Consider the following 27,394-nt stretch of genomic DNA (forward strand, 5'->3'; position numbering starts at 1 on the left):
TGGTCAGTAAATGAGCAGTAAGTAGTGGCAGCCTGGGAACCCAGGGGGGTCTGCCCCCTTTATGTTCCTCGCTAGGATGGTGGCCAGCCCCAGCCCTTGCCTATCACAGTGGTGGTGAACTAGACTGAGGGAGCTGGTGGTGCCCCAATGCCTAGGGTGGAGAAGGATCACCTCAACGAGCTTCAAAATTAGGTCTGCTTCCTCTGAGGGCCCTCTGCAGAGACACTATTCATTAATCCTTCCATCCATTCAACACATATTTAATGAGCACCTACCATTCTAGGCCACTGAGATATATCAGTGACTAAACAGAAAAAGATCTTTGCTTTTGTAGAGACCATATTCTAGTAGGGAAAGCAGAAAAATAAATTCCAAAGCATGCGAGAAGGTGATAAGGTTGTATACAAAAATGTAGACAAGGAAAGAGGCTCGGGGTGGTGGAGAGCTGGAGGCAGACGGCAAGTGTAAGAGGTGGCCAGGGAAATCCTCAATCAAAATTGAGATCTCAGCAAGGGCAAGGAGGGGAGGAGGTGGCCCACGGCAGAAATGGCGGAGTCGTGGGCCCTGAGCTTGGGGTTAGTGGGAGGAGATGAGGTCCAAGAGGTGCGGGTAAGTGGATAGGGCCTTGTGGCCACTGAACAGACTTTGGCTTTTTATTTTTTTCTTGAGATGGAGTCTCACTCTGTCACACAGGCTGGAGTGCAGTAGCAGGATCTCGGCTCAATGCAATCCCAGGTTCAAGTGATTCTCCCGCCTCAGCTGCCCAAGTAGCTGGGATTACAGACATGCACCATCATGCCTGGCTAGTATTTGTATTTTTAGGAGAGATGGAGTTTTGCCATGTTGGCCAGGCTGGTCTCGAACTCCTGACCTCAGGTGATCTGCCTGCCTCAGCCTCCCAAAGTGCTGGAATTACAAGCAAGACTTTGACTTTTAATCTGAATGACAGGGCCAGCCATTGCAGAATCTGACTGACAGGCTAACCAGGTCACTCTGGGTGGTGCTGTGTTGGGCACAGAGCATTGGAGGAAGGAAGGAAGAAGGGACACATGTTAGCCGACTTCTGTCCTCACTCGCAGGGTCCAACCTGCAGCCTCCGGCCCAGTCTCATGGCTCTAGGCTGGGGCTTCGTGCAGAGACCTGGGCTGGCCCCTCCCTCTGTGGAGGGCACAGTCATTTGGTTCACCAGCCCTGTCATCTACATTATTTGTGTAATACTACAACTACATAATCTGGAAACACACAATACTTTTAATTAAAGAATTTAAGTAAGGGCAATTAAACCTGGCAGGAGAGAAGCCGTAGCACACAGAGAACTTAATTGGAATGAAAACCAAATTAAATATGGAAACATCAGCTAAAAGAAAAAAATCAAATTTGAATGTGTAGAATTTTGAAGGCTAATAATAATTCCTAGAGCCAGGTTCCCTTCTCCAAGCCTAATTCCTCCTCCTTCTGGGCCTTTCAGGAATAGGAACTGGAAAGGCATGAGCAGAAGCAAAGAACGTAGGACTCTGTGCCCCGCCTTGGCCACGTCACCTCAGGAAAATGGCTGAGCCACTCTGGGCTTCAGTCTTGTCACTTGCAAAAGGAGACAGAGCATGCTGAGGCACTCAATTTGTGTCTCAACATAGAGAACTGTGCGTAGACTGGGGCGTGTGGAAGCCACAGTCCATGAGTCTCTTGGGCACCGAGGAGCAGATCCCAGGTTATTACACAGCCAAGCATCTTTCTGCCTCAGTTTCCCAAGTGTGTCTGTGGTGCCTACGTGTGGTACAGACTGACTGGCCTGTTCCTCCTGGAATGTAAGAGTTAGAGTCACCTGTGGGCTTTTTAAACTATAGATCACTGCCCCTCTCACTTCTGATTCACTAGGTCTGAGATAAGGCCTGAAAATGTGCCTTTTAAAGTTCCCAGGTGCTGTTTCATTGGTGGTGGTGGTGGTCTGGGACCACACTTTGAGACCACAAGCTATGACCCCCTTTCAGGAAAGGGTTGGGCCCAGCTGGTCGCTTGCATCCTGAGGTGGAACGTCTGGAGTATTTGTGTTAAGCTCAGGCTGGTCTTACTTTTGCAATCAAGGAGTTCACAAGGACGCTGTGTGTGTACTAGCTCGTGTATTCCAAATACTTCTCTGCTTATTTTAGAATTCCCATTCCACTTTCTTTTTTAATTAATTTTCCATGGGCAAGCAGCCCAGTGGGTCTTTGGCTTTAAGCATGGTGAGCTCAGGAGTTTCTAGGTTAAGTAGTTAATGATTAGTAATCAAATACTTCAAAGCATGTGTGGGACATTACAGCTAGTTAAAGAAACCCTGAGATTAAGTCTTTTTTTGGTAGAGTTAAGTGGTCTTTTTGTATTATGAATACTCAACACCTGATTTACTAGTAAAGACTTTCGTGTTTTTTTTTTTTTTTTTTTTTTAACTACTTGGGCGTTCTCTTTCTTAGTCTCACCTTTGCCTGAGTGAGATTCTGCCCAGGGCTTGTTGTGTGAAGGGCCCCTTGGACTGAAGATGGGGTAACAGGAACATCAAGTGCAAAGCACAGGTAGAGAGGGGTTATGGAGACAGCAGGATGGCTGGAGGGAGTTTGCTGAGGAGGTAGGGATCCAGCCAGTCCACACATATTTGCGACAGGCTCAGCAGGGAGGCCCCAGCCCCAAACTCCCATTGCAGCGATCCACTGGTTTTCCAGAGGCAGGACAAGGGACCATGGTATGGTGGTTTAAAGCATGGACCCCAGAGGCAGGATTCCCAGATCTGATTTTTGACAAATGACTTAATCTCTCCATGCCTCAGTTTCCTCCTCTGTAAAACTGGGGATAATTATAGTAAGTACCTTATAGCGCTATCATAGGGATTAAGTAACATTTATAAAACAGAGTAGTGCAGGGCACATAGTAAACACCATATAAATGTTTGAGCAATACATTTTAAAATCTCACCCAGGTCTGGGTAGTGGGGAGCTGAGCCATCACACCTAGTCCCGGTCCCTGATATCTGTGGGATGAGGGAGAGGAGGGAAGTGCTGACTTCCATAAACCAAAAATAACTAATTGCACATCCAAGGCCTAAACGAAGCTTTGTCAGTCCCTCAAAACTGGACAGTTCTACACTTGTCCCTTCATATGACATGAAAGGCTGTTTTATTCTGGAGCCATCATTAAATACTCGATTATTGTCTTTTCAACACAAAAGGTTCTCAAAGTTGGACTTGCTGACAGCACTTGGGGATTGGAGCAGGAGAAAGTCAAGGACTCCTCCTCCTCCTCTAGCATGGGGAAATTCTTTGGCAGAATTAGTGGTGTTCCCTGGGAAATGTGCTCTGCAAATAGATTCGTCTTTGCGTGCGTTACTCATCTTGCATCAAATTATCAAATTAGACCTCACAAATCAGAGCCAATTGTCCCTTGACAGGCAACTTTGGCTAGGGGCTCAGTCTCTTCTGGGCAGTCTCATCTAGTCTTGAAAATTTCTCCTTTCCTGGCATTAACAGACATCTCTGTGGCTATCCGCAACGTTCCCCACTTGGAAAATGCATCAGCGCTGCTCTGAGAATGAAGCAAGCACAGGGGGCTGGGGTGTGGTGTCTGCCCTGCATACCCTTGAACTCTAAGCTCAGCCTTGCCAATGTTCCCGCCAAAGAACCCAGAGTCTGAGGGCAACATGAAATACAGTCTCAACACCCTGAGATTTCATCAGATCCTCCTGTTTTTAAAAATACTCATTTAAATTTGCACTCCATGCAATATGCATATCTGTTTTAGTATAAAATATTTCCACCTCTCTCCTCCAAATCTGAGGTGATCGGAAGAAGTGCGTGTTTATGCCGTAACTTTGAGTATCCTACATAATGAGTGTCTGTGTACCACAGGTGGGATGCGCTACCACCTAAAAGTGTTCACTGTAGGAACTGGGGATTTTCCAGCTAAGCAGGACCCTTGGACTATTAACATGAAATGTCTTTGAAATACTGTTAGATGACTTTTTTTTTTCTCCAGTGAGCATGCATGCATCCGAGGACGGTCATTGAGGTAGGATTTTGTTCATCTTTGGGGCTCCCACAAACCTAGCTCAAGACCTTGCACACAGGGGGGACTTTGGTTAAGATTTGTGAATTTTTTTAAAAAGACTCCTTCATTTGATCAACAGCATGCTGGGTGCTGCCTCTGTCTCTGGCTTTTCATTAGGTGCTGGAGATACTGAAGTGTGAGACACAGTCCTGCCCTCTAGTCTGTTGGCTGATGGAAGAAGAGAGGGACACGGGTTGAAATAAGGGGTAAATGATGCCATAAAGTGTGATTAAGAGTGTCATTCTCAAATTTGTGATGCTTTGTATTCAGGCTGGCCCAGTGAGAATTCTAGGTGGAAAAAACCCTTCTCAGGGTTTGCCATCTAACTTCGGGAGCTTAGAATTATAGAATTTCAGGGTCCATAAGCCCTTAAAATCACCCAGCCCAACTCCACTGACAGCTGTGGAGCCTTTGACAACCTGCTGATGGTCCCCTGAACTCACCACCTGCCCAAGCCATCAGCTTCATCACCAGCTCTATGAAGAAGCAGCTCAATAAATTGTTCCTAATTTCCCCCTGCTGGTCCTCCCTCAGGGCTACATAGGACAACCCTGCTGGGCCCTTGCACAAGGCAGCCCTTCAGAGATCTGCAGGTAGAACACTGACCTTTCTGAGCAATTTCTGGTCTTAAATAGTCCTCAATCCTTTAGCCATGAATTCAAACATATAGATGGACTTTCAGAAAGTGGGAGCTTGGAGGACCACATCATAACAACAGCCTTCCTAAAGCAAGAATCTCTTCAATAACATCTTTGAACAGAGGACTCCCTCTAACATTAGGCTATTACAAACCATTCAAAGGAATGATGGTAGTTGAAGGTGGAGAGGTGGCCTTGTTACTACCGAGAGTCAGTCCTCTGCTTTGCTTGACAAGTATCCTGCCACAAAGTTCTTCTCTGTAGTGACCTGATATTTGCCTCTTCCCTCTCCCTCCACTGGTCCAGGGGTCATTGACCAAATGCCTCTTTTTTCACAGAAATCCATCACTGAATCCCAGAATCCCCCAAATCTCAGTACGAAGGCTACTCTCAGAAGGTTGAAAGACATATACTTAATGCATATGAATTTATCATCCCAGTAGGTAGGTAGTTTTAGAAGTTCTTTAATCCTGGAGGAATCACAAACAGGAAAAAATCACTGAAGGCAACAACTGCCACTTCTAATATTATGAAGTTTTGTCATGTGCTGATGCGGGAGACATCAGCTGTTTAGGGAGGGTGTGTAGCTTGAGGGAGGCAATTCTGCCTGCCCACCAAATGTTCTCAAACACAGGGCTGGCAATGGTCCTGTATTGAGAACCACTCCACTGCCCGACTACCATCATCTAATCCATCATTGTGTAATAACCTGCTGAAATGTCTCTCAAAGTCCTCCCTGATAGCTGCATGTCCCCACACCCCTGTGGCAACCAAGTCCTCCTATCTCTTCCCGGGACAATGAAACAGTTTCCTCCTTAACTTGCTTCCCTGTTTCTAGCCTCTTTCCTTCTGATCCACCTGCTTTCAGCTGCCAGGGGGATTTTGCACACCCCACCATGGAAATCTACTACTTAAGAACCTTCCCCATTCCTTCCTTCTGCTTTTAATGTGAAGTCTACCTCCTTGGAATGGCTTTCAACAACCATCATTATCTGCTCTACATGACTCTAAGTCTTATCTCCTACTTGTCCCATCAAAAACTCTAAATTCTGCACACAACAGACAATGGATTCCTACTACTAAAATATGCTCAGCTATTTCATGCCTTTGCCCAAGTGAGCCTCTACTTGGGATGTTCTATGCTTGGAAACTGTCTCTACAACCTTTATGATATAAATCAAACAAGCCTCCTATGTGAAGCCATCTCTGAGTTCTGCAGACCAAGTCGGTCATCCCAGGCTCTCAGAACACAGCACACCCCTCGGTTTCTGTTCTCATCATTCGGTTCCATTGTGTTTACATGCCCATGAGCTCCTTGAGGGCAGAAGCTGTGTCTGATTTATATCTGCATTCCTCCTGTCCAACCCCCATGCTCAATAAATGTTTGATGAACGACTAAAGGAAAGACTGTTCATCATTGGAAAATTGCTCATCAGAGTCCTGCACATCAGCGTTGCCAAGAGATGTTTTCATCAAATGTGGTTTCTCAGTGTCAGTATCTAACGCTGTCCTGGTTCAGCCTGAAGTATTGGAAATTCAGAAGAGCTTGTGGGGGTTAGAGGAAATGTATTTTATTTGTTAAGCAGAAAATCAGGGTATGAGATGGAACACTAAGATATGCAAATGCCTATCTATCTTCTTGGTAGGAGAACCTGGGAAAACACACTAGATTATTTTAAAATTAATTCAGCCTGAGTGTCTGTGGAGCTTAAATGTGGTCCTCAGGAGAATAAATAGTGCATAATGTGAAACCAGAAAGGAGATTTGAAATGCACCCAGTAAAAGCTCCTTTCAGCCCAACTTGAGTACCAGAACGTTCTAGTTGGTAGGATCTGAATGCAATTTGCAAAGATTAAAACCTGTTGCAAGAAAATTAGCCCAAGCACAAGACTTTAATCATTTCAGAGGCTCCTGGCTTCTTCAGGCCTTGTCAACAGCGACTCCTCACCAATGAGGGCTCGAGGAGAGATTCCAGGTCACCTGATAAATATCGATCATTTTGCAGTAAGCAAAACTTCCACATATATTAATTATTAAATAGCAAGTGAGAGTGGCTGCTCTGGGTCTGAAAACTAGGAATTCAAAAATAGTATTTCCAAACAGTTCCCTTTTGTAGAAGGATCAAATATATGGTTGCCAAAGCACTCCGGGGAGTTTTAAGTAGACATATGCCAAAGTGGCTGAAAACTGCCCAGTCACCGAAGAGCCTTGTGCCACAGATGCCTGCTTTGTTGACTGCTATGTCTGTTTAAACAGGAATCGTGTGGGGCTGCCTTTTCAAGCCATGCCCTGGGATAAGGGAAGGAGGGAGCTGGAACTTGGGGTGACTTTGCCTCAAGGATGCCCATTTTACAACAGTGTTTCCTTCTCTGCCATAGCCAGGATGGACAGACAAGATGGGAGGAGTGGGGAGCGCTGGCCACAGCCCCAAGGCATCTAGGTGTGCACAGGAGATGAGACTGAGTTACTCCAGTGGGGACCTCAGAGCGTGGGTGGGAAGGATTCTGTGAGGGCTGGAAAGAGGGTAGAAGTGTCTGGGTGCAGGTCTTGGATGTCAAAGCAGCCTGGGCTTCAGATTCAGCCAGTGAATCTACCACTCTCAGGCCATGTGATCTTGGAGGGTGACTTCATCTCAATGTCTCATATTGGAGGTGGGCTTGCTGTGCTATTAACCTCAAACTGTATAAGGCTGAACACAGAAAGGCTGAGGCTCACAGGCAGAGGAGTCTGAAGAGGGCTGGAGGCTTACTTCAGTTCAGGAATACCCATGTCTGGATGACACCAAGTCCCCAGGGCTACAAGTGCCTGGCTGGGCTGTGGCCTCCAGGGGCTACTCCAAGACAGCCCAGAGGCCACTGCTCATCCTCCTCCTGCAGTAATCTGAAGCAGTACTCTTGTCGATTGAGGACTCCTGGTGATGCCTGTCAACATTTCCAGCCCACACCACCAAAGCTGAGTCCCTAGGATTGGCCTTAGAGCCTGTGCTAAGAGGAGACTTTGGGGGCTGACGCAGGCTATGAAGACCCCGGGGTCATGGAGGAGAGGGAGGAAGAAATGGCTAAATCTTCAAACTGCATCTCAATCTCCTGCTAACTCTTCATCCTGCTTCTTTCCTTTTCTAGAATCTCTCCTAATCTAGCTTCACAATCCCTGCCAGAGGGGGGCTTTCAAAATCCCAGACCTAAACATGACCTGGGGTTACATATCCTTATCTCCCACAGAATCAAATCCACCAGGCCCTGTGGCCTCCAGGCCTAGCCCAGTTGGCCTTCCAGACTCTTCAGCCGCTCCCCACTGTGCCCTCCAGGATCGGCCACCCCTGACTCCCGGCAGCTCCCTGAGCACAGCCTGCTTTCGATGTCACAACTTTCACACATGCTGTTTCCTCTCCCTGGAATGCCCTTCACTCCTTCCAAAGAGACCAGGCTCCCAGGTTCTTAACATTCATTCCCAATTAAGTACATTGTCTCCTGAGAAACCACCAGCCCTGCCCACCCCTAGCTGCACCACCACCAACTTCCTGCATGGTTCCATTCGTTCCATTCACAGACGGCAGGGCAAGCTGAACCCAGAGGCCCAGCAGGTCTGGCTGAGGGCAGTAGAAAATGGTCCCTTGTGACCTCCATAGACTCTGAAGACAGTCTGAGGCATGAAGACCATTTCGCCCCAGCAAAGTCAGCCCCACTCACCTCCACGGAGCCCGGAATATGCACTCAGGACCCTGTTGTCTTCAACCTACAAGCCTACTTTGCACCCAGCTCGACTTGAGAAACAACAGCCATCCTTCACTGGGCATATACCTAACTGTCCTTCCACACCACACACCCCAGGCCTCCCTCTGCCTCTCAACTTGAAGGAGGAAAGGAGGGAAATGTAGCCTCATCCTCTGGCCCCTGAGCTGGAAATCTGGCAGAGGAAAGTGATGAAGGCTTCTGCTAGGCACAGTGTCAAGTCAGCAGTAGCTCCCAGCTGGGGCATCTGGTGTTTCCACAGAGAGGGAGGTGGGAGGATGAACACCCTGTGTCTCAAGCCTCAGCCCTGACCTCTGGCCTTCTCCCACGTGGCCACTTCCGACATAGCTTCAGTGATGAGAAGTAAGAGAGAATTTGAACTATTTCATAAATAATGACCAACATGAGCACCTTGGGCATGTTCGTTAACTTCTCTGTGACTCAGTTTCCTCATCTATGAGGTCAGGTGGTACCTATCACATCTGGGTTTGGTGAGGATTAAATGAGTTAATATATGCCTGACACATAGTAAGTACTGTATGAATGTTAGCTGTTATTCCTATTGGGATAGAACTTCACAGTTTACAGCACATGTCAAAGGTTACATAGACAGGAAGGAGCAGGAGCCATGAGTCCTTTGCATGAGTTCCCTTTCATTGAACCCCCGACACTTTGCAGGGTGAGCTGGGACTCACAGAGCTGCCACCTGCATCCTCCACCTGCCCTCGGAAATGCTCCCATTTGGCTCCTGGGCTCCTCTCCACCATCTGCTTTCCTGTGTTCACAAAGCCCTGGTTTAGGCTCTTGGTTCTGCTTTCTAGCTAGCTCCTAAGTCCATGACCTTGTTTTGAACTTCCAGCTCAGTATTGACATTCACTGTTTATTTAGGACCTAAGAGTCTCTGTAAGTGCTCTAATTCTGCACACCCAGACCACAGTCAAAGGTGCCCTATGCCCATACAATATGATGTAGCTGGGACTCTCCTTACCATCACCCTTGCTACAGGGAGAGTAACTGGATGCCAGGATTGGAATCAAGGTATAGCCAGCTTCCAAAGCTCCTTGCAGTGCCCCCAGCAGCCTCCATCCTCACCAGGGGAGAAGCAGCTTGCCGGGAGGCTGGAGTCAGGGACTCCTGCCACTCAGTTCCATGAATACAGGTGTTCCCTCCCGAACTTCCCTGGGAGTGTCCACCATGTACAGCCCCCAGGCAGCCCTGAGGCTCCACAACCCCATGGGCTCCCTCACTTCCTGTTATTAACGCTTTACCTGCTCCACCTGGGAGGCAGGCATCCCTATCTGTGGCTGAAAATGGATCCTACCTTAGCAGATTCCCTGGTGACTAGGAGACCTCTGGGCAGAGGCAGAAGTTCTCCTCAAAGCTAGGCATCTAGATCCTTGGCAACATTCTATAATGGGAGCTACTAGGGGCCAGTGAAGAGCAGGAAGTCAAATATGGGCCCCTGAATTAACAGAGACTTAATAAAGGAATGTCCCACGGTCACTAGTGTGAGGACTGCCTTTCGCCAAATGGCCCCAAGATGCTGTCTGGCAAGGAAACCTCTTCTCCCAGAGTGACCCAATACTGCGTGGAAGGCAGAGGGGGTTGCAGATCAGAGACCCAGCACTGTCTACATCTGGGAGACTGGGGGCTCCATCTCGTGAGCAGAGGCTTGTATAGGAGAAACGTGAAGGTTTAAAGTCAGAAAGACCTGAGTTTATATCCCAGCCCTGCCCCAGCTGTGAGACTCTGGGCAGGGGACTCCCATCTCTGAGCCTCAGTTTCCTTATATCTAAAAAGTACAATAATAAAATCATTATAATAAAACAACAACAATAATAATAAACTCCCTCAGAGCCAATATCACAGGGGTCAATAGTCAACACATGAGACCCACAGCACATGGTAATTTGATCAGCAAATCCCTGAGAAGCAAAGCAGTCTGGAGCCACAGCCTCACTACTGCCAGTCTGTCTCTCCTTCCCCTTCCCCTCTCCTCCACCACCTCCCTGGCCCCTGAGGCCACTCTCCTGGTTTTCCACGATGGCTGCCACTGTGCCCGGGCTCTGGGGCTGTTACCTGAGAGAACTGCCAGTGAAGCTTCATCCTCTTGGCTTTGGCGTAGCTGCATTCGATGAGCCGGGGCCGGCTGTTGACGTCCACCAGGCATCGGTTGTCATCATCATCCACGGTGGGGCTCAGAATGCCCACATGGATCTGCTGACTGCTCGTGTAGTACACGTTCTGGGGGCGGAGGGAGGGAGAGAGTGTGGATAAATGCCAATGGCCACGGAGACAGGAGCATAGGTGGTGATTCTTCCAGGCAGCTGGCAGAGAGGCCACAGTTAGGGAAGACCCCGGAGTCTTCACATCCAGTGGCCTTCAGATTATTTTCTATTGCAATGGACAAGAAGAAACCCTTTTACATTATGATCCGGTATAGTGTCTGGTCCACCTGTATAACTACAAGAAATAAAACACCCTTACATATGTAATATACACTGATTTCTGTTCTAATCTTTCATTGGAAAACATTGGTCATAACCTTTTAAATTTATTTCTTCACCCAGTTTACAAACCCCTCTTTTTTTTTTTTTTTTTTTTTTTTGGAGACAGAGTCTTGCTCTGTTGCCCAGCCTGGAGTGCAGTGGCGCTATTTCGGCTCACTGCAACCTTCCACCTCCCAGGCTCAAGTGATTCTCCTGCCTCCGTCTCCTGAGTAGCTGGGATTACAGATGCGCACCACCATGCCCGGCTAATTTTTGTATTTTTAGTAGAAACGGGGTTTCACCATGTTGGTCAGGCTGGTTTCAAACTCCTGACCTCGTGATCTGCCTGCCTTGAATCCATTATTTACAGATTGCCTGATTTCCTCCCTTCATAAATATTTCATGTCAGATACTGTGCTTTGTCAGAGTAAAAAGCCTGGATTGCGCCTTCAGGGAGCGCAGAGTCTTGTGGGATGGGAGATGTATAACAATTTCCATGCACACTAAGACTGTGCAGAGCAGGAGGTGGCCAACTTTTTCTTAAAGGTCAGGATGACAAATGTTTGGTTTTCTGGGTGTGCTGGGGAGTCCCCAAGACCACCCTCAGCTAAATGATTTTCTATGGGGACTCATAGGACTCAGCACATAGCTGTACTCACTGCTATGATTTATGACAGCAAAAGGATACAAAACAAACCCAAAAGGAAAAAGGAGAAAGGCTCCTGGACAAATCCTGGGGAAACCAGGTCCAAGTTTCCAAGGGTTCCCTCCCAGGGGCGTTGCACAGGACATGCTCAATTCCTCTGAGCTGTGACAACACATGGGAAATGCTGTCTACCAGAGAATTACGTTAGAGACGCAGCACCAGGGTTTTTTACTGGGGGCTGTCACATAGGCAGCCTCTGCCTGGTATGCACCAAAATCCCAGGCTTCCAGAAGGAAAGTGGGTGGTAAACCTAGGCTGTTTTGTTTGTATAATCAGATTAAGCACAGAGAGCCACTCTTATCAGTTCTGCTGGGAATCCTGAGACCCAGGCTCTTAGATGCCAACCTCATAAGCAAGACTTTCAAAGGACAGCAGCCAGGCCAGCTCTGCAAACTCCTTTCTGCACAGAGGACCATACAGCCTCTGAAAACTCAACGCTCCTACTGTAGTGCAAACACATCCCAGAAAAAAAAAAAAAAAACATAAACAAATGGCTGTGTTTCATTAACACATCATTTACAAAAGTAGGAGTCTCCCATGGGCTGTAGTTTGGGTCTGGTCTAGGGGAAAGCCACGTGACTCTTGGCCTTCAATGTTTTCAGCAACTTCCCTCAGCCCTGAGCCATGGTTCCCAGTCAGGGCTCCGAGTGAAAAGTCTTAGGGTTCTGTGAACTCTTCTCCTCACATTGCCAAAGGCATTAACATGCTGCTACCCTCATCACTAGTGCTCCCCTGCCCCAGTGATTACGCCTCAGAAACAAACCAAGATACCACACTTTTCCACTTTAGGTTAGAATATTCAGGGTGTTCTCTCTGGTTATCTTGACATGTTCAAAAATTCTCATTGGCAAATATTTTTAATTCAAAATGGCAAAATTATGTATTTCTTGCTTTAGCAAAAGAGGGTGGTTGACAACTACTTTTTAAACCTGTGTGCTAGGCCATAAAAGGGACAGAAGTGGAAAGAAGGCAGTGCAGGTGAGGAGGGTGAGTAAGCGTGGTCCTTCACGGCAGATTCTTCCTGAAGCTCAGAAGTCTCTTTAGGCTCTTGGGAGGGGGTGAAGGGCAGGCAGGGTGTTCCCTTTCGCCAGTGTATCAGTCAATGCTTCAACAGGAAAGAGACGGCCCACTTTAGTAGGGGGAGACCCGAGGAGTATGTAATAAAGGCACCATTTTCAAAGGTGTGGGTAGGGTGTCAGGGAACCACAAGGGATAGGATGATTCCCTGAGGAAAGTAACATGAAGCAGTTAGTACCCCTACGCCCAGTGGAATGAGAGGACAGAGCTGTCACCAGAACGTGTAAGAGAAAAGTCATGGAGAGAAAGCTGAGAGGAGGGCTTTGGGGTCATGGCAAGTGATGCTGAATAAACACCCCAAGTTCACTCTTTCCTCCCCACTTCAATCTCATGCTAGGTCAGGCCACTGGCAGAACCCAACTGGAAACCAGAGATTTCCATTGAAATGTTCCATAACGTCAGCCTCTCAGGGTGGAGGGAGGTGGGTGGAGAGTGTGTCTGGAGGGAGGAGCAGAAGACGCTCATTACAGCTAAGATCTGCTCTCTGTGGTCACTTTACAAGTTATCAAGCTTGGCAAATCCATGGTAATTGATATCAAAATGACTAAAATGACTGAGTTTTTCTATAACAAAGGTGAAGGATTCACTGTGACCAAAGTTCTGAGCAGAGGCCAAATGTGGGATGTCCAGCTTTGATGTGGAAATGTAACCAGAACAAGAGGCAAGGGGAGCCTCTTCAAAGCTATCCTGGGCAAGAGGTGGTTTGCTCATCAGAATCCTGAGACTGTCCATTGTGTGGCCTGGATTTCCAGGTCACCACCGAAGAAAGCTGATGTCCTGTGGCTTCTAGTTTATTGGAGTTGAGGGAGAACTTGGCAACTGGTAGGATGGAGAAAATTAAACAGCCATAGAGTTAGACATCACACCCATACCTCTATTCAACTAACAAGTAATCTCTAAGTTGGGATCTAGGACTACAGAAATGAGAAAAGCCATGGTCCCTGTCCTGGAGAAGCCATGCCGCATTAGGGAAACCAACAACATATCAGGAAACAATGACCCCAATCACATGAATATGAGAAGTGCCCCTGCTTCTTGTACTCACCTACCCCAACTCTTACTACTTTGAAAATAGAAACGAGAACCCACCATATCCAGAAAGACTGCCCTGAATATTCAACTGTGTGGAGCCTCAGCCTGCCACCTGGGCCTCTCACCAAAAGGTGCACACCTGTTTATACCCCTGGGTTGAATGCACTGTGACCTCCTTAGGACACTGTAGCTCTTAATCTCCCTGCATGCCAGGACCCAGATTTCCTGAGGTTTGGGGATGTGGGCTGTGAGACAAGGACAGCCAGGGAGCCAGTCATTCCCATGTTTTTCTTCTTCTGTCATCAAAGCCTGGTTCTTGTCTCTGGAGCAGACTTGGCAGACACAAGTGGCTACTCAGGTAACAGCTGAAATCAGTTTTATCCACTTAGCTGCTCTGAAGAGTTTAGGGAGATGCTGGGAGAGACGTGTGCACTTACTATCTGGTACAGCTGTCATCAGAGCTGTTTATTGCTCCAGAGTCTGGGAAAATCATAATGGGGCAGACGATTGTTATTTAAAAACAAAACAACAAAGTGCCTCTTGACTGGCGTAATCACAAGGCTGGCAGATCACAGAGGGAGGTTCGGCAAAGAGGATTTTCTCAAGTCCTCACATGGACATCTCAGAAGCCCAGCCTAGCGGATTAAATAAACAAATTGCTCGAACACAAAAAAGGTGTTCAAGATGCCCTACCTTCAGTGCCTGCAGTCCCAGCAAGCATAGCTAAGCTTTCTGAGCAATGGGGACTCTGGAACGTTTAAGGCAAAAAGTGACTTAGAACGATGGTCCTCAGTGGAGGAATGTTATAAACCAGGGGCTATCTGGAATGCCTGGAGACATTTTTGGTTGTCATGATGGTGGGGGTGGTAGGAGGTGTCTAGTGGCTGGTCTGGGATCCCACTCAACATCCTAAGTGCACAGGACAGCCCCCCACAGCAAAGAATTATCTAGCCAAAATGTCAGTAGTGCCGCTGTTGAGATACCCCAACTTAAGGTATAATAAAAGCTAACATGTTTTTACCTCTTACACTGTGCCAGACATGAAATGACTTACATGCTTTATCTTGTTTAATCTTAGCAATAACTCATGAGGCAGGTACTAATATTATCCCTTACCTTACAGACGAGAAAGCTGAGGCACGGAGACCATAAGCAATGTTTCCAAAGTCGCACGGTTGGTGAGTAGCTGAGATTTACAGCGAGGCAGTTTAACTCCAGAGCCATATGTGCGACCACTCACCTCCCTTGCCCACCTCCCTGGGGTCACTCCAGCTCCAGCCTCCAGGCTGGGAGGGGCAGGGGGAGCCGGGAGAGGACTTCCACTGTGATCCCTTCCAACCATGATGGGGGCCTGGACTAAGACAGTACCAGAGAGCTGGAGGAGCCTAGAATAAAAGATGCTACAAAGTTCTGAGACAGCAGCATCCCTCCTGTAACTCTGGTCTGAGGCTGGGGTGAGCTGTTATCCTGCCTGTGGACGTCTTACAAACCCCCGGGGCAGAGAAACGTCATCCCCGCCCACTCAGCTCCTCCTCAGCTGCCAATGATTGATTTGGCTCATTCTCTACTCAGCTCTACACAGCTCAGCAGGGCTGCAAACCAGATCTCCAGCATTTCATTTTGATTCTTGCAGGAGGAAGAGCAAAATCACCTGCAAGGTAAAACAATCAACACATCCGTATCCTGGATCTTACGCTAGTGGCATTTTCCTCTCCTCCAGGCCAGGGGTAGGAGCCATGACTGAGAGCTAACAGCTGGCCAGGGAGACCACAGAACTCTGGTTGCACATTCCTGCCTTTAGAGCCACAGAGTCGAGGCTGGGTAACGTCCCCCAGGGCCGGAGGTTCTCCTGACTCTGTCCCTCACCTTGGGGCAAGGGCCCCCATCCTGCAGGATACCCTGGTCTCAGAGCCTGGCCTCTAGCCCTCCAAAGAAGCCACCCCTCACATGTGTCAAGCCTCACCTGGCTGATGGAAACTCTGCCACAGCTTCAGGAAGGGAAGGAAGAGAAGAAAACACACATAGTTTTGTGCGCCTAGCAGTCCTCTGCTAGGTGTTTTCCATGCCCGTGGCTACTGCCACTTTTAAGGATAAGGAAACTGAGGCTATGAGAGTTTTAAAAACTTGTGAAGACACTCAGGTAGGCAGTTGCTCTCTCCCCTCCTTGCCTAGGGAGAAGTCCTGAGCAAGGCTGAGTTCTGGCAGCTCAGGGCCTGTGGCCCCTTACCCATTCCTTGGAGGGGCTCTCCTCGGCTGCACTGATGGCCACTGCCTCCGCCCAGTCCCGAACCTCAGCTGCAGCTGCCCAGGCCCGGGAGCTTGGTCCCGAGGGCCACCATGAACTCACCCATGAACCAGCAATGGGACTACCAGGGCCGTTCCCACCAGGTTGTCACGCTGAGCTCTGGGGATTCCAAGAAGGGGTCTCAGGGGCCATTGTGGGTGGGGTTCTAGAGCCCCTCTCCCAGCCCCATCACAGCAGGTCTTCTTTTGTCTTTTGGATAACTGGCTTTCATATAACATTTTCTTTGAACAACAGGTTATGATGAATTTTAAGAAGTTTGAAAACCACTTCTCTGAAGCAGGAGGCTTCTGTCCAGGAGGAGGACGTTGCAGATGAGTAGGCCTTTGTTAGCTTCTACTCCACCAAAGAGCCTTTGCAAACATGCAGATGAGAATCTCAACCTCCTGCCTCCCGCCTCCAACCTCCACCAGGCCCCACTCCCTTGCATTCTTTGATATGGCCAATCTACGTATTTTTATTTTTAAATTATTATGTCAATAGTTTTTGGGGAACAAGTGGTGTTCGGTTGTATAAATTCTTTAGTAGTGCTTTCTGAGATTTTGGTGCACCCAGCACCCAAGCAGTGGATACTCTGCCTAATGTGTAGGGTTTTTATTTTTTAATTTTTTGACAGTCTCACTCTGTCGCTCAGTCTGGGGTGCAGTGGCATGATCTCAGCTCACTGCAACCTCCGCCTCCCAGGTTCAAGCAAGTCTCCTGACTCAGCCTCCCAAGTGGCTGGGATTACAGGCGTATACTACCACACCCAGCTAATTTTTTTTACTTTTAGTAGGGACAGGGTTTCAACATGTTGGCCAGGCTGGTCTCGAACTCCTGACCTCAGGTGAACTGCTCGCCTCGGCCTCTGAAAGTGCTGGGATTACAGGCACAGCCACTGTGCCTGGCCCCATTGTGTATCTTTTATCCCTCACTTCCCTCCCACCTCTTCCTCCAAGTCCCCAGAGTCCATTATATAATTTTTACACCTTTGCATCCTCATAGCATAGCTTGCACTTTAACTGAGAGCATAGGATGTTTGGTTTTCCATTCCTGAGTTACTTCATTTAGAATGGCCTGCAACTCCATCCAAGTTGCTGCAAATGCCATTATCTCATTCCTGTTCATGGCTGAGAAGTATTCTATGGTATATATACCACATTTTCTTTACTCATTGGTTAATGGGCATTTAGGCTGGTTCCATGTTTTTGCAATTGTGAATTGTGCTGCTATAAACACGCATGTGCCAGTGTCTTTTCCATAGAATGACTTCTTTTCCTTTCAGTAAACACCCAGGATTGGGATTGCTGGATCAAATGGTTTGGAGATTCCTTAAAGAACTAAAAGTGGAACTACAATTTATGTATTTTTCAATCATCCAATCCCCTCTTCTACCAACACCTCAATACCTATGTTATGCCTCTGCAGAAATTCTGGAGCCCTCACCAAGCTAAACAAAGACTGAGATGCAAAAATCATGGGATGGGCAGAGGGAGAGTCAAGGAGGGCCTCCCAGGCAAATCTAGAACATTGGGAAAATAGGGTTAGTTACATTACTTAATAATACACACATTTTCAAGGCACAACTGGAGTACGAGTTCTCTTCCAAATGATGGGCATGTAAATTTGGACTAGCTGTTTTTCCTCCATTAAATGAGCCTTCCTTGACAACTCTGCTGGCCTATCAAGTAGGTGCCCGTGAAAAATGAGGTATCTTTGGGGCATTTAGACTCTCCCTGCTGAGCCTCCTGCATGGGGCAGCAGTGATCGTCTTTGGCTGAAACTGTCCTGGGCCTAGAGAGTGGTGAGGGGTAGAAAGGGAGAGTTATATTGGGACACTGTTTACAAGAGGTTCTAGAACCCATCATAAGGGAGAAAACAACGGAATTGGCCAGGGACTTACATTGGAAAGGGATGAACCAGCATCCTTGCAGTCATTTCTTCAGATATTTATCCATATTTTTGTTGGTTGCAGCCCAACAAGGAATTAAGAGCCCAGCTCTCTGAGGGGCTGGGGGACATAACAGGGGAGTGTGACACTGTCTAGGGAGTTAAGAGTCACACATAATGGGGTGATTGCAAACTTTTACGATTGGACGGTTGGCAAAGGTCATTGAAGGCACAGTCAAGCTGTGGGCTGGATCTTGGAAGAGGAGGAATATCTGAGAGCAAATGAAATCACAAGAATCACAAGGACAAACTCCTGAATGCAATCAAGCTAAGGCAGGGGTCTCCACCTTGGCTGCAGAGCAGAATCACCTGGGGAGCTTTAAAACCTATAAACCACAGTCTCAGGGACTGGGGCCTGGGCACGGGGATTTATTCCAGGTGATTCTAATGTGCAACCAAGGTTGAAAACCAGCTGGGTTAAGGAGAGTTTGGGAAGCCTAGGAGTGAAATGTTGGCGCAACACACACCCTTCTGGATTCTAGCTTAAAAGCAATGCCCCTGCAGATCGGGATCTAGCTTGCCCCCACAATGAGAAGGGGGAACTTATCCCTATCTGCAGGGCAAGGACAAGGTAGGCAGGGACGAGGGTATCCATAGGAGGGCAAGAAAAGACCCAGGAGGGAGAGGGCTACCCGTCCAGCTGCAATGCCTCACCCTCTCATCTCTGTGCCCGTCTTGAGTCTGATCAATAGGTCTGCAGGTAGGAGTCATGGAAACAGGCAGGGTGCCAGACACAGAGGGCGGGAAGAAGGAAGGGAGCCTTGCTTTATTAAATTTCAATTTACAGAGTGCTGGCTTTGACATCCAGAATGTGTATTAGAAATGGGCTCTTTTCCCTCTTTTTCAAAGAACGAGCTGCAGGCCTCTCTGCAGACAGGCAGGCTGATTTAAGGGTTTGGTTATTGGTCATTAACCCCTTGACACAGAAGTTCGCTACAGTGCTGAGGGCCACAGTGCACTGATGCTAAATCAGAAATGAAGGAGAGTCATTTCCAGAATGATCTTATGTTCATCAACCACAGCACGAGGTCCACGTGAGGAATGGGAAGCATTTATAAGCACCATTCTCCATTAGTGTGACGACATACATGTGTAAGGCTGGGTTTCTAGCTCAGGGCTTCCTCTGTGAACCCATTTCCCTGGTGGAGCGGGAACAAGTGAGGCTGAGCACAGGCACACGAATCCCTCAGCTCTTTGGGGAGAAGTTTGTAGCTGGAACTCAGCCCATCAGTGAGGAGTCGATCCCATTCAATTCAACAAACACCCTCTTTGCCTCTCGGGTGCCAGGGCTGGCCTGGGCATTGGGAAAGCAGAGGGAAGAGCGGGAGCCCCTCCCTCAGGGACTATCAGCCTGGCGGAGAGACAGACATGCAGGAGGATGGGTAGAATATACTCATGGCCAGGCTTATAACAGATGAGTGGGCAGTGTGCTGGGGTGCCCCAGAGCTGGAGTAACAGTCTCTACCTGGGGCTGTCAGTGAGTAATGAGTCTAAAGACAACAGCCTAAAGAGAGAGTAGTTTGCCCAAATGTTTGTCAAGGACAAGGGACTTCTAGCAGAGGAAACAGGCAAACACAAGCCACAGACGCTTGACAGTACAATGCCATTTGAAAAATGATAGTGCCAATGGGATGAGGTGGGGAGGAGACTGGGTAGCACCCCGCTGGTCCCCAGGGAGCTGTGATTCAGATCAGTAAGTGCCCCCACTTGTTAGCACATCTGAGGGGCTCTAAGAGTCTTCTGACTCAAAAACGTCCAAGGAGCCTGGAAGCAAGCTTGGCCTGGAGGTGCCTTGGTGTGGTTGAGTACAAGACAAAGAATGGGTGCCCCATTTTACTGGGATTGCTGGTGAAGTCTCTCTTTTTCTGCAGCCTCTGGGTGTGTCTCTAGGGACCAGGGCTTGCAAACTCTCCTGATCTAGGCCTTAGCCCCTCATCCAGATTCTTCTGCCACTGCTCCTCCCTTTCCTCCTCCTGCCCTCTGCCTGCACCCCCCAGACCAGCCTGGCTGCCTGGGACAGGCTTCTGCATCAGTGGCTTTCTCCAGCAAAGTGCCTTGACACAGATGGGAGCTGCAAACAAAAGCCACATCAAGCAGAAACACGCTGCCATGGGACAGATCACAGAGGAGGCACAATCAATAGCAATGGCCAGGGTGGTAGGCCAGGCCTCAGCGGTTGAAGAATTGGGCTTGGCTCAGGGAAAGGATATGCGCAGGATGCGTGCTGCTGGCAGAACAAAATCAGAGACAGCAAAGAGCCGCAAAGGGCATGGGGAGCGACATCGCACTCGGATATCTCAAGTGCTCTGGAGACGCAGTCATTGCACTCAGCCTTAAAAGGCAGAGAGACTGACAGCCCTCAGTGGCTGTCCTTCAAAACACACCTGGCCCATCAGCAACCCTTGAGAAGACCATCATCAGATGTGGAACATAGCAAGGATGTGGTGACAATCCCCCTCGGGGCTCAGCCTCTCCTGGATATAGGACAAAGCTCGAGTGACTCCTGGAAAACCCATCCCATTCACTTTGACAGCATAACCTGGTGTCAGCCCTGTTTGTGGCTATAGCAGATACTGTTAGTGCCTCACCCATGCATCTGGGCACTCCCCAGCCCTGGCCATGTGAACAACCTCCTCTATTGGCCCCTGCTGCCCTCTGCCTGGGGGACTTTTCTGGCTGCAGGAGCTTGCCTTGCCTGTACCTAGCTCCAGGAGCAGCCCCCAACCAATGGTGGATGGAAGCTGGTGGACAAATAACACATCCTTCTTGCTTCTTGGGCTAATTTGGAGATATATTCCCTACAGGCCTCCAGAAATCCCCAGCAGCACTGGCACCAGCAGCCCCCCACTGCTAACCTGTGCATTCACATGACATGAATTGACCTTTCTTTCTCCCTTGGCTCATGTTTCCACTGCCTTACTAATGCTTCTAGAACTGCCTTTCAGATACATTACTTGTCACAAACCCTTGTCTCAGGATCTGCTTCTAGAGAAACCTGACTCAAGACAATGCTGGCCCATGGCTAGCTATACCTGTGGCCATTATGTCCAGGTCCTCAGCACTGATACTAGATAGAGGCTGAGCCCAAGCCTGTCACTGTACTTGGGCCCTAGCGCAACCTCAGTCAGCAGTGGGGCTCATACACACCAGACTTGGTGCTCCTGAGCCTTCTGGGGACTCCACATCTGACAGGCCACCTTTCAGTGCAGCAGCCATGATGACACCTGAGGTCCCTGCAAGGCAGACCTGGGGCTCTGAGGAACAGCTGCACCCTTCTGACCTGGGACTGTTTATGGGACACCATCACACAAACTTATCTTGCCAATCCTTCTCTGTAGGCCATGAGGTCATCCCGGAGACAAGGGACCTTTGGTGAAAAGCACATTTCATCCTCGCTTTGACCCTCAGGAAGTACCTGCCTCTGGTAATCTAGCACACACCCCTTGGAGGGGCTGCCTGGCTGACAGTGACCCATTTCCTCTGAAGATGGCTCTGTCCAGGGCTTGGCCCAAATGGTCTATGCTCTGGGACTCTGCCACCCTGACCATCAGTGAGAATGGAGCTGTTACAAAGAGCCAAGTAGACTTCTCCCAGGAATTTAAAACCTGAAAAGGAAAAGACACAGACAAAGTAGCCCTGAAGCTAAGACACATTTAGGGCAACTCTCTAGGGAAGACCCATAAACTTTTACTGCTGAGGCCCCTGGAGCTGTCCTAGTTCCTGCCTTTCCCGGTCAACCTTTCCTCTGAGTCTATAAAAAGGAATCACCCCAGGTTTTCTCTAATAACATTCACCCTTTGTCTTTACCTTAAGCTACCCAAATTTGTTTTATTTGTTGTTGATAATGACCCCCTCCCTTCAAATTAACAAATACAGTTAGCTTGTTCATTAGTAAGTTCTCTATGTTCAAGAAATCTCAAACACCAGATATCTGACTACTGGGCCCTATTTTGGAAGGTAATGCTCAAAACACTTCATAGCTGTGTCTGCTTGTCTGCTATAAGCTGTGCCTACTCAATCACAAACAGCAAAGAGGGTGCATATCCTATGCACTGAGGAATACTTCCCCTGACACTCTTCACAAACAACAGTCTGCCTACTCTGCATCAGCTTGTGACAGTCAATTCATACTTCTTAAATACAGATTGATTTGTTGTTCGAAATAGTCTCTGCCCTCTCCTATGATGCTTCTTCCTGTATTCCCCTCCCTACTGAGCTATCGTACATCACCAGATCATTAATGCCAGACATGGCCACGTTTCTAGCTGGAACGTGAGCGGGAGTGACAGACGTCATTCCCAATCAGAAGCTTCAGGAGCAATCATGTGATACACTGTCTTTTTGTTCTCTGCCACTGGACCTGCAGCATCCTGGAAAGGAGCTGCCCCTTTGGCCCTAGAAAAAGTTGAGATGACAGAGCTGAAGCTGAATGATGACAACCGAGGAGCATGAGTAAGAAATAAACACATCTTGTTGTAAGCCACTGAGATGTGCGGACATCAGCCTAAGATGACTGATAAAGAAACCGACACTAGAGGAGGGGTACTGCCAAGCCTTAAAATATGGGCACTGACTTTAAGGCCAGAGGTAGGTGATGAGTAAACCACCACTGGAGGCTGGAAAGATGGTGACCTCATCTATGCAACGAAGAGACGGTTGGTGAAATACCTTGGTAAGATACAAATATCTTAGTTGGCCTGCAATATCTTGGTAGACTGCTAATGTTGCAAGTGAGCCCATGCTTAGATGCAGAGTGTGCCTTTTTAGTATCAGCTGCTTTTGACAAGATTCTGCAAAAGAGAGATAAGGTCAGGGAAGAAACAGACACGCAGTAGGGCCCAGTAAGCCATTGAGATTTTGAGGTCATACATTACTGGAGCATAAGGAAGACTGAACTGATGGACAGGTTCCTCCCCAAATAATCACACCAAAATAGAACTTCTAAATGCAATGCATGCTCTTAAGGAAAAGTACAAGAAACTTTGAACATATATACCAATGAGACTTGATCCATTGTGGGTGGAGGGGAGGGGTGATTCAAGAAAGACTGAGTCGGGATCCAAACTGCCTCGACTCAAGTCTCTGCCCCCACTACCCACGAGCTATGTGACTAGAGACAGTTTACACAGCCATTCATCCCCTCAATTTACTCATCAGTGGAAACAGGCTAAAAATGCTGCCAACCTCCGAGGATGTTGGCAGAATTACATAGAAGGATTTGTGCTTGGTGTTAGCTGTCAGGGATGCGACTGTAACAGCAGTCACCCCCTTTAGATCCCAAGTTCCCTGAGGGCAGACACCATGTTTGTCTTACCCACCCTTATATCTCTATTAATGAACCTCTGCTTATTACATGATATACACTCAAAACATATTAATTGAATCAAGCAATGTGTTAATAAATTATTCCAGGGACATTTGGACTCCAGAAATTCATGCAGGTGCACTCCCTGGTGCCTGCCTCGTACCCCTTACTCCAAAACTCCTCTAAGCTGCTCTCTGGCCAGTTTTGGACCTTGGACATCACTCTCCATATAGCCCAGTGGATTAATGACTTGGATAGAATGGGGTCTCTCCCCAGGACATAGTCTATGCCATGTCTAGACCTTACCTGGTCCTCCTGAGAAATGAGGAGGCTCAATACCTTTTTAGCATACAACAGTTATTCTGCACAGCATTAAGCAGAGCTTAGAATATTCCCAGTGAGAGTGGTGGAATGTGTGTGTGTCTGTGTGTGCATGTGTGTGTGTATGTGTGTGTGTGTGCATGCATGTGCACGAGTATGCACAGATAACATATGGTCAATGTGGGATCTGGACTCACTAGCAATCTTGGTGATCAGAAGGATGTAGGAAAGAACACAGTAATAAAATATGCAGGTTAAGATCCAGTAGGAAGATGTTAGCCCAGAAAAAAAAATGGAGTTCATGTGGATAAAATAATGGTGGCTGATTTTAATCTGCAGATATAAGTCTCTCTATTTCACTTGCTCCAACACCATCTCCATCTCCATTTTCCTTGTCCCTGGGGAAAATATAACCTGCTTTCCTCCAGCTCATGTCTTTATTGGATGTTACAGACCTCAGATAGCAATGCCAGATGGATTGCACTATGACAGAGAAAGTGTTACAAAACTAAGGCCATTCATATTGGGGATCCCTTTTCTTGCCATACCACAGATGAGCACTCAATATTTTTGAATGAGTGAACAAATGAATAAAATAATACAAAGTGAACATGATGAGGCATTGTGACGTGTTATACAAATGGCCACAGATTTTTCCCATCCTCGCATACAAACTACTTTGCAATGTGACTGCGCAGCTCTTCCCTTCACTTCATTTCTCCCTTTATCCGAGTCTGGGCTGTGCTGTGTCTTACTTTGGGCCAATGAAATGTGCATCACCTATGTGACACAAGCATAGACCTGATGGGCACTCGTGCATTGGTGCTGGCCTTCTCTTGCTGCCCTGTGCCTGCCACCATGTGTAGAAGCCTGGCCTAGCCTGTGAGATGATAACACACACATGGCCCAGAAGCCTCTCACTCCAGCCGACTGTCAGCCAGTCTCCAGAAGCAGAGTCAACTAGCTGAGCAGCAGTTGACCACAGATGCCTGAGTCAGCCCAGCTGAGACTAGCAGAAGATAAGGCCAGTCTAGCCTAGCCCAAATTGCCTGCTCTCAGGAAAAAAAAATGGATGTGTCTCAGTCTACCAAATTTTGGGGTAGTTTGTTATATGGTAAATTGTTCTGATATGGGTACCTCATTTTTACAGGTGTTTGTAAAGTATATGGCACACAAGGGAGGTGTTCAGCAAATTACATTCATTTTATCCCCTCCTGATGGACAAAAATTATTATAATGATAATATTTCCAATTTAATGAGTTCACACTATATGTCAGGGATGCTAAATGCTTTATACATACTTATTTAAATAACCCTGGGGAAGAGATGAGGGCATGTCCATTTTTAGATGAGAAAAAAGAATGAAAGAGAGGTAAATTATTGGATAGCAACAATTTGCTATCAAACAGGAAAACTGGCAGAGCTGGGATCTGAACTCAAGTCATCTGGCCCTAAAGCCCACCTCAACCATCACAATGCCCTGCTTCTTCAAGAGGAAAGAAGGAAAGGTTCTGATGCTACCCCTTTCCACATGTGGCCTCCACTTTTGAAGTGTTCTTCTCTGCCTTTGCTGGTGCATATCCCACTCTTTCTTCCTTTAAGGTCCAGAAGCAGCTCTTCAGGAAGGCATCCTTGACCCCCCCAAGGTCACTACTCCCAGCCCTCTTTTCTTCATGGTAACTGGGATGCTGATTCCTTCCTTTGGCACAGTGGAAACTCCATACAGCCCTGATGGTCCTGGACGGAATGTAGCATGAAATACTGGAGCAATGTGATGGGAACGAAGTTCAGTTGCCACGAGGACAGACAGAGTTTTGGAAGTGGGCGCTTTGTCCTGAGCACAAAAGCTGGGGGCCAGGGGTGACCGCAGTGGCTGCAGCACAAGGAGATGTTGTTTCTCTCAGTCTGATTCTGATACCCACTTCCTCCAATCCTCCCAGTTCTCATGGAACTTCCTTATGGCTTTACCTTAGCCACAGGGAATTCCTTAGAGGAAACTCCAGTGGAAGATGGATCATGAAGACTCCCTGGAAGAAAAATCTTCAATGGTTCTATCTCCATATACGACTCTACTCACCACTTCCTGGCGTGGCAGGAAGAACCTCGCCGTGTAAGCGATGGTGGAAATCACATAGCACAGATTTCCTGGAGGAAACCAGTCTCAGATATTCATCTCATTGTCTATTTTCATGAAGATATGTTACTTTCAATAAAGGCAATTCACTAAATATGTCCCTACATGAGATTTAATTTTTGTCTTTGTGGGGGTTTCTTATCCTCACTCCACCCCTGATATGCTCTGTGCTTCGTCCCCAGTTGACCTTCCCTTCCTTGCCCTCCCTCCTAAGCCTTCTCTTGAGCCTTCTGAAGCCTCTTATCAAACCCCCAGTATCATTCCAGGATGGCCCTTTCCAACAAAACAAACCTTTCCTTTCCCACCAAACAAGGCTCTTCCTGGAGGATGCCTATTCATGTGTTTTTGAATCTGCTGAGTCTCTAATCAGGATTCAAGGTGGAGTTGACACTCTCCTCTCCCCTGGTGCCTCTTCTACACCTCCACTCTTCCACCCTAGTGTAAAAAACATCTCCTCTGTAAGAATCAGACATCAGACACCATTGCCCTCTGCCCATGTTGTTCTTCTCACTTAAGTGCCAGGCAGTCAGCTACATCCATCAAGGTCTTTGGCACCAGGCTCACAGCTTCCTCTACATCACACTGGGCAGCATTCACGTTGCACTGTGGCCTCAATTCTGGGGTGGTATGCTGTGTTCCACTTTAGCCCACCCACACCTAGACCCCAGCTCTTAGTGCCCCAAACTACTTTACCTCTGAAGTCTAATACTCCATTGCCCTACTTTTGCCCAATCACCTTGCTGTGGTTTGACTGTGTCCCCCAAAGTTCATGTGTTGAAAACTTGATCCTTAATGTGGTGGTGCTGGGAGGTAGGGCCTAATGGAAGGTGTTTGGATCACTGGAGCACTGCCCTCATGAATGGATTAGTGCCATCATCAAGGGAATGGGTTCCTTGTAAAAGGACAAGTTTAGTCCCCTCTCTAGCCCTTCTTTCTACACTTCCACCATGGGATGACACCACAAGAAGGCCCTCACCGGATGCTGGCCCCTTGATATTGGCCTTCCCAGCTTCCATAGCCATGAGCTGATGAATTTCTCTTCATTATAAATTTCTCAGCCTCAGGTTATAGCAACACAAAATGACACACCTATTAATCTTGATTACCCACTCTCTTACTTCCCAATGCCTGCTCATCAACCTAATTGAGGCCTTTGGAATAATAATTTTCTTTCTTTCCTTCTATACTTACCACTCTTTCCTGACCTCTCCCTAGAAATGCTGCGCCCAATTTTTAATAATGGCACTCTTGCTAGCAGCTTCAATTTTTAAATTCCTTACTTTTTCTGCCTTTTACACCCTGTAAACCCCACCTCTATAGCCTTGTTCACCTTCTCCACACCTGTTCCCTGGAGGCTAGCACCACCAGAGAAAATTCATGGAACTGGGTAAATTAAATCCACCACAAACTCATGATCTTTAACCTCAACCAGGTACTTCAACACAACCTAGTATTACTTCTTTGGGTACCTGCTCAGCAGCTGAGCCACTTTCACTCTGCAGGGTTTCTAAACCTTCTCCATTCTCTCACATACCCAGATCCCCTTATGCTTCAGTTGCAAGACAGCCTGCAAACTTGTTCCTCCTGGGCCTCAGCAGAAGTTCATTTCCTGTGCTCCAGGACCATCCCACCTCTCCTCACCCTGTCCCCACCCC

At 47.8% G+C, this 27,394-nt stretch overlaps 1 protein-coding gene and 1 long non-coding RNA gene across 3 annotated transcripts in view, besides 1 other annotated feature; one reads left to right on the forward strand and one right to left on the reverse strand.

Moving 5' to 3' along the window:
- GALNT18 (polypeptide N-acetylgalactosaminyltransferase 18) overlaps positions 1–27,394 on the reverse strand; it is a 351,129-nt gene that overhangs the window by 11,630 nt on the left and 312,105 nt on the right. For both annotated transcript variants that reach the window (NM_001363464.2, NM_198516.3), the window contains one exon: positions 10,523–10,687. In NM_001363464.2, coding sequence (NP_001350393.1) covers positions 10,523–10,687 — 165 coding nt within the window. The remainder of the gene's footprint in view (positions 1–10,522; positions 10,688–27,394) is intronic.
- Positions 8,066–8,565: an enhancer, noted in NCBI's record as "H3K4me1 hESC enhancer chr11:11312119-11312618 (GRCh37/hg19 assembly coordinates)". NCBI's record gives its function as "activates a minimal SCP1, AML or CMV promoter by ChIP-STARR-seq in naive H9 embryonic stem cells {active_cell/tissue: H9 hESC(naive)}" and the evidence as "EXISTENCE:reporter gene assay evidence [ECO:0000049][PMID:30033119]".
- LOC124902633 (uncharacterized) lies at positions 14,874–16,373 on the forward strand. Its single transcript, XR_007062596.1, has 3 exons — positions 14,874–14,925; positions 15,381–15,405; positions 16,287–16,373. It is a non-coding gene; the product is annotated as an uncharacterized LOC124902633 (long non-coding RNA).

Source organism: Homo sapiens, chromosome 11, assembly GCF_000001405.40.
Source record: "Homo sapiens chromosome 11, GRCh38.p14 Primary Assembly".
NCBI lineage: Eukaryota > Metazoa > Chordata > Mammalia > Primates > Hominidae > Homo > Homo sapiens.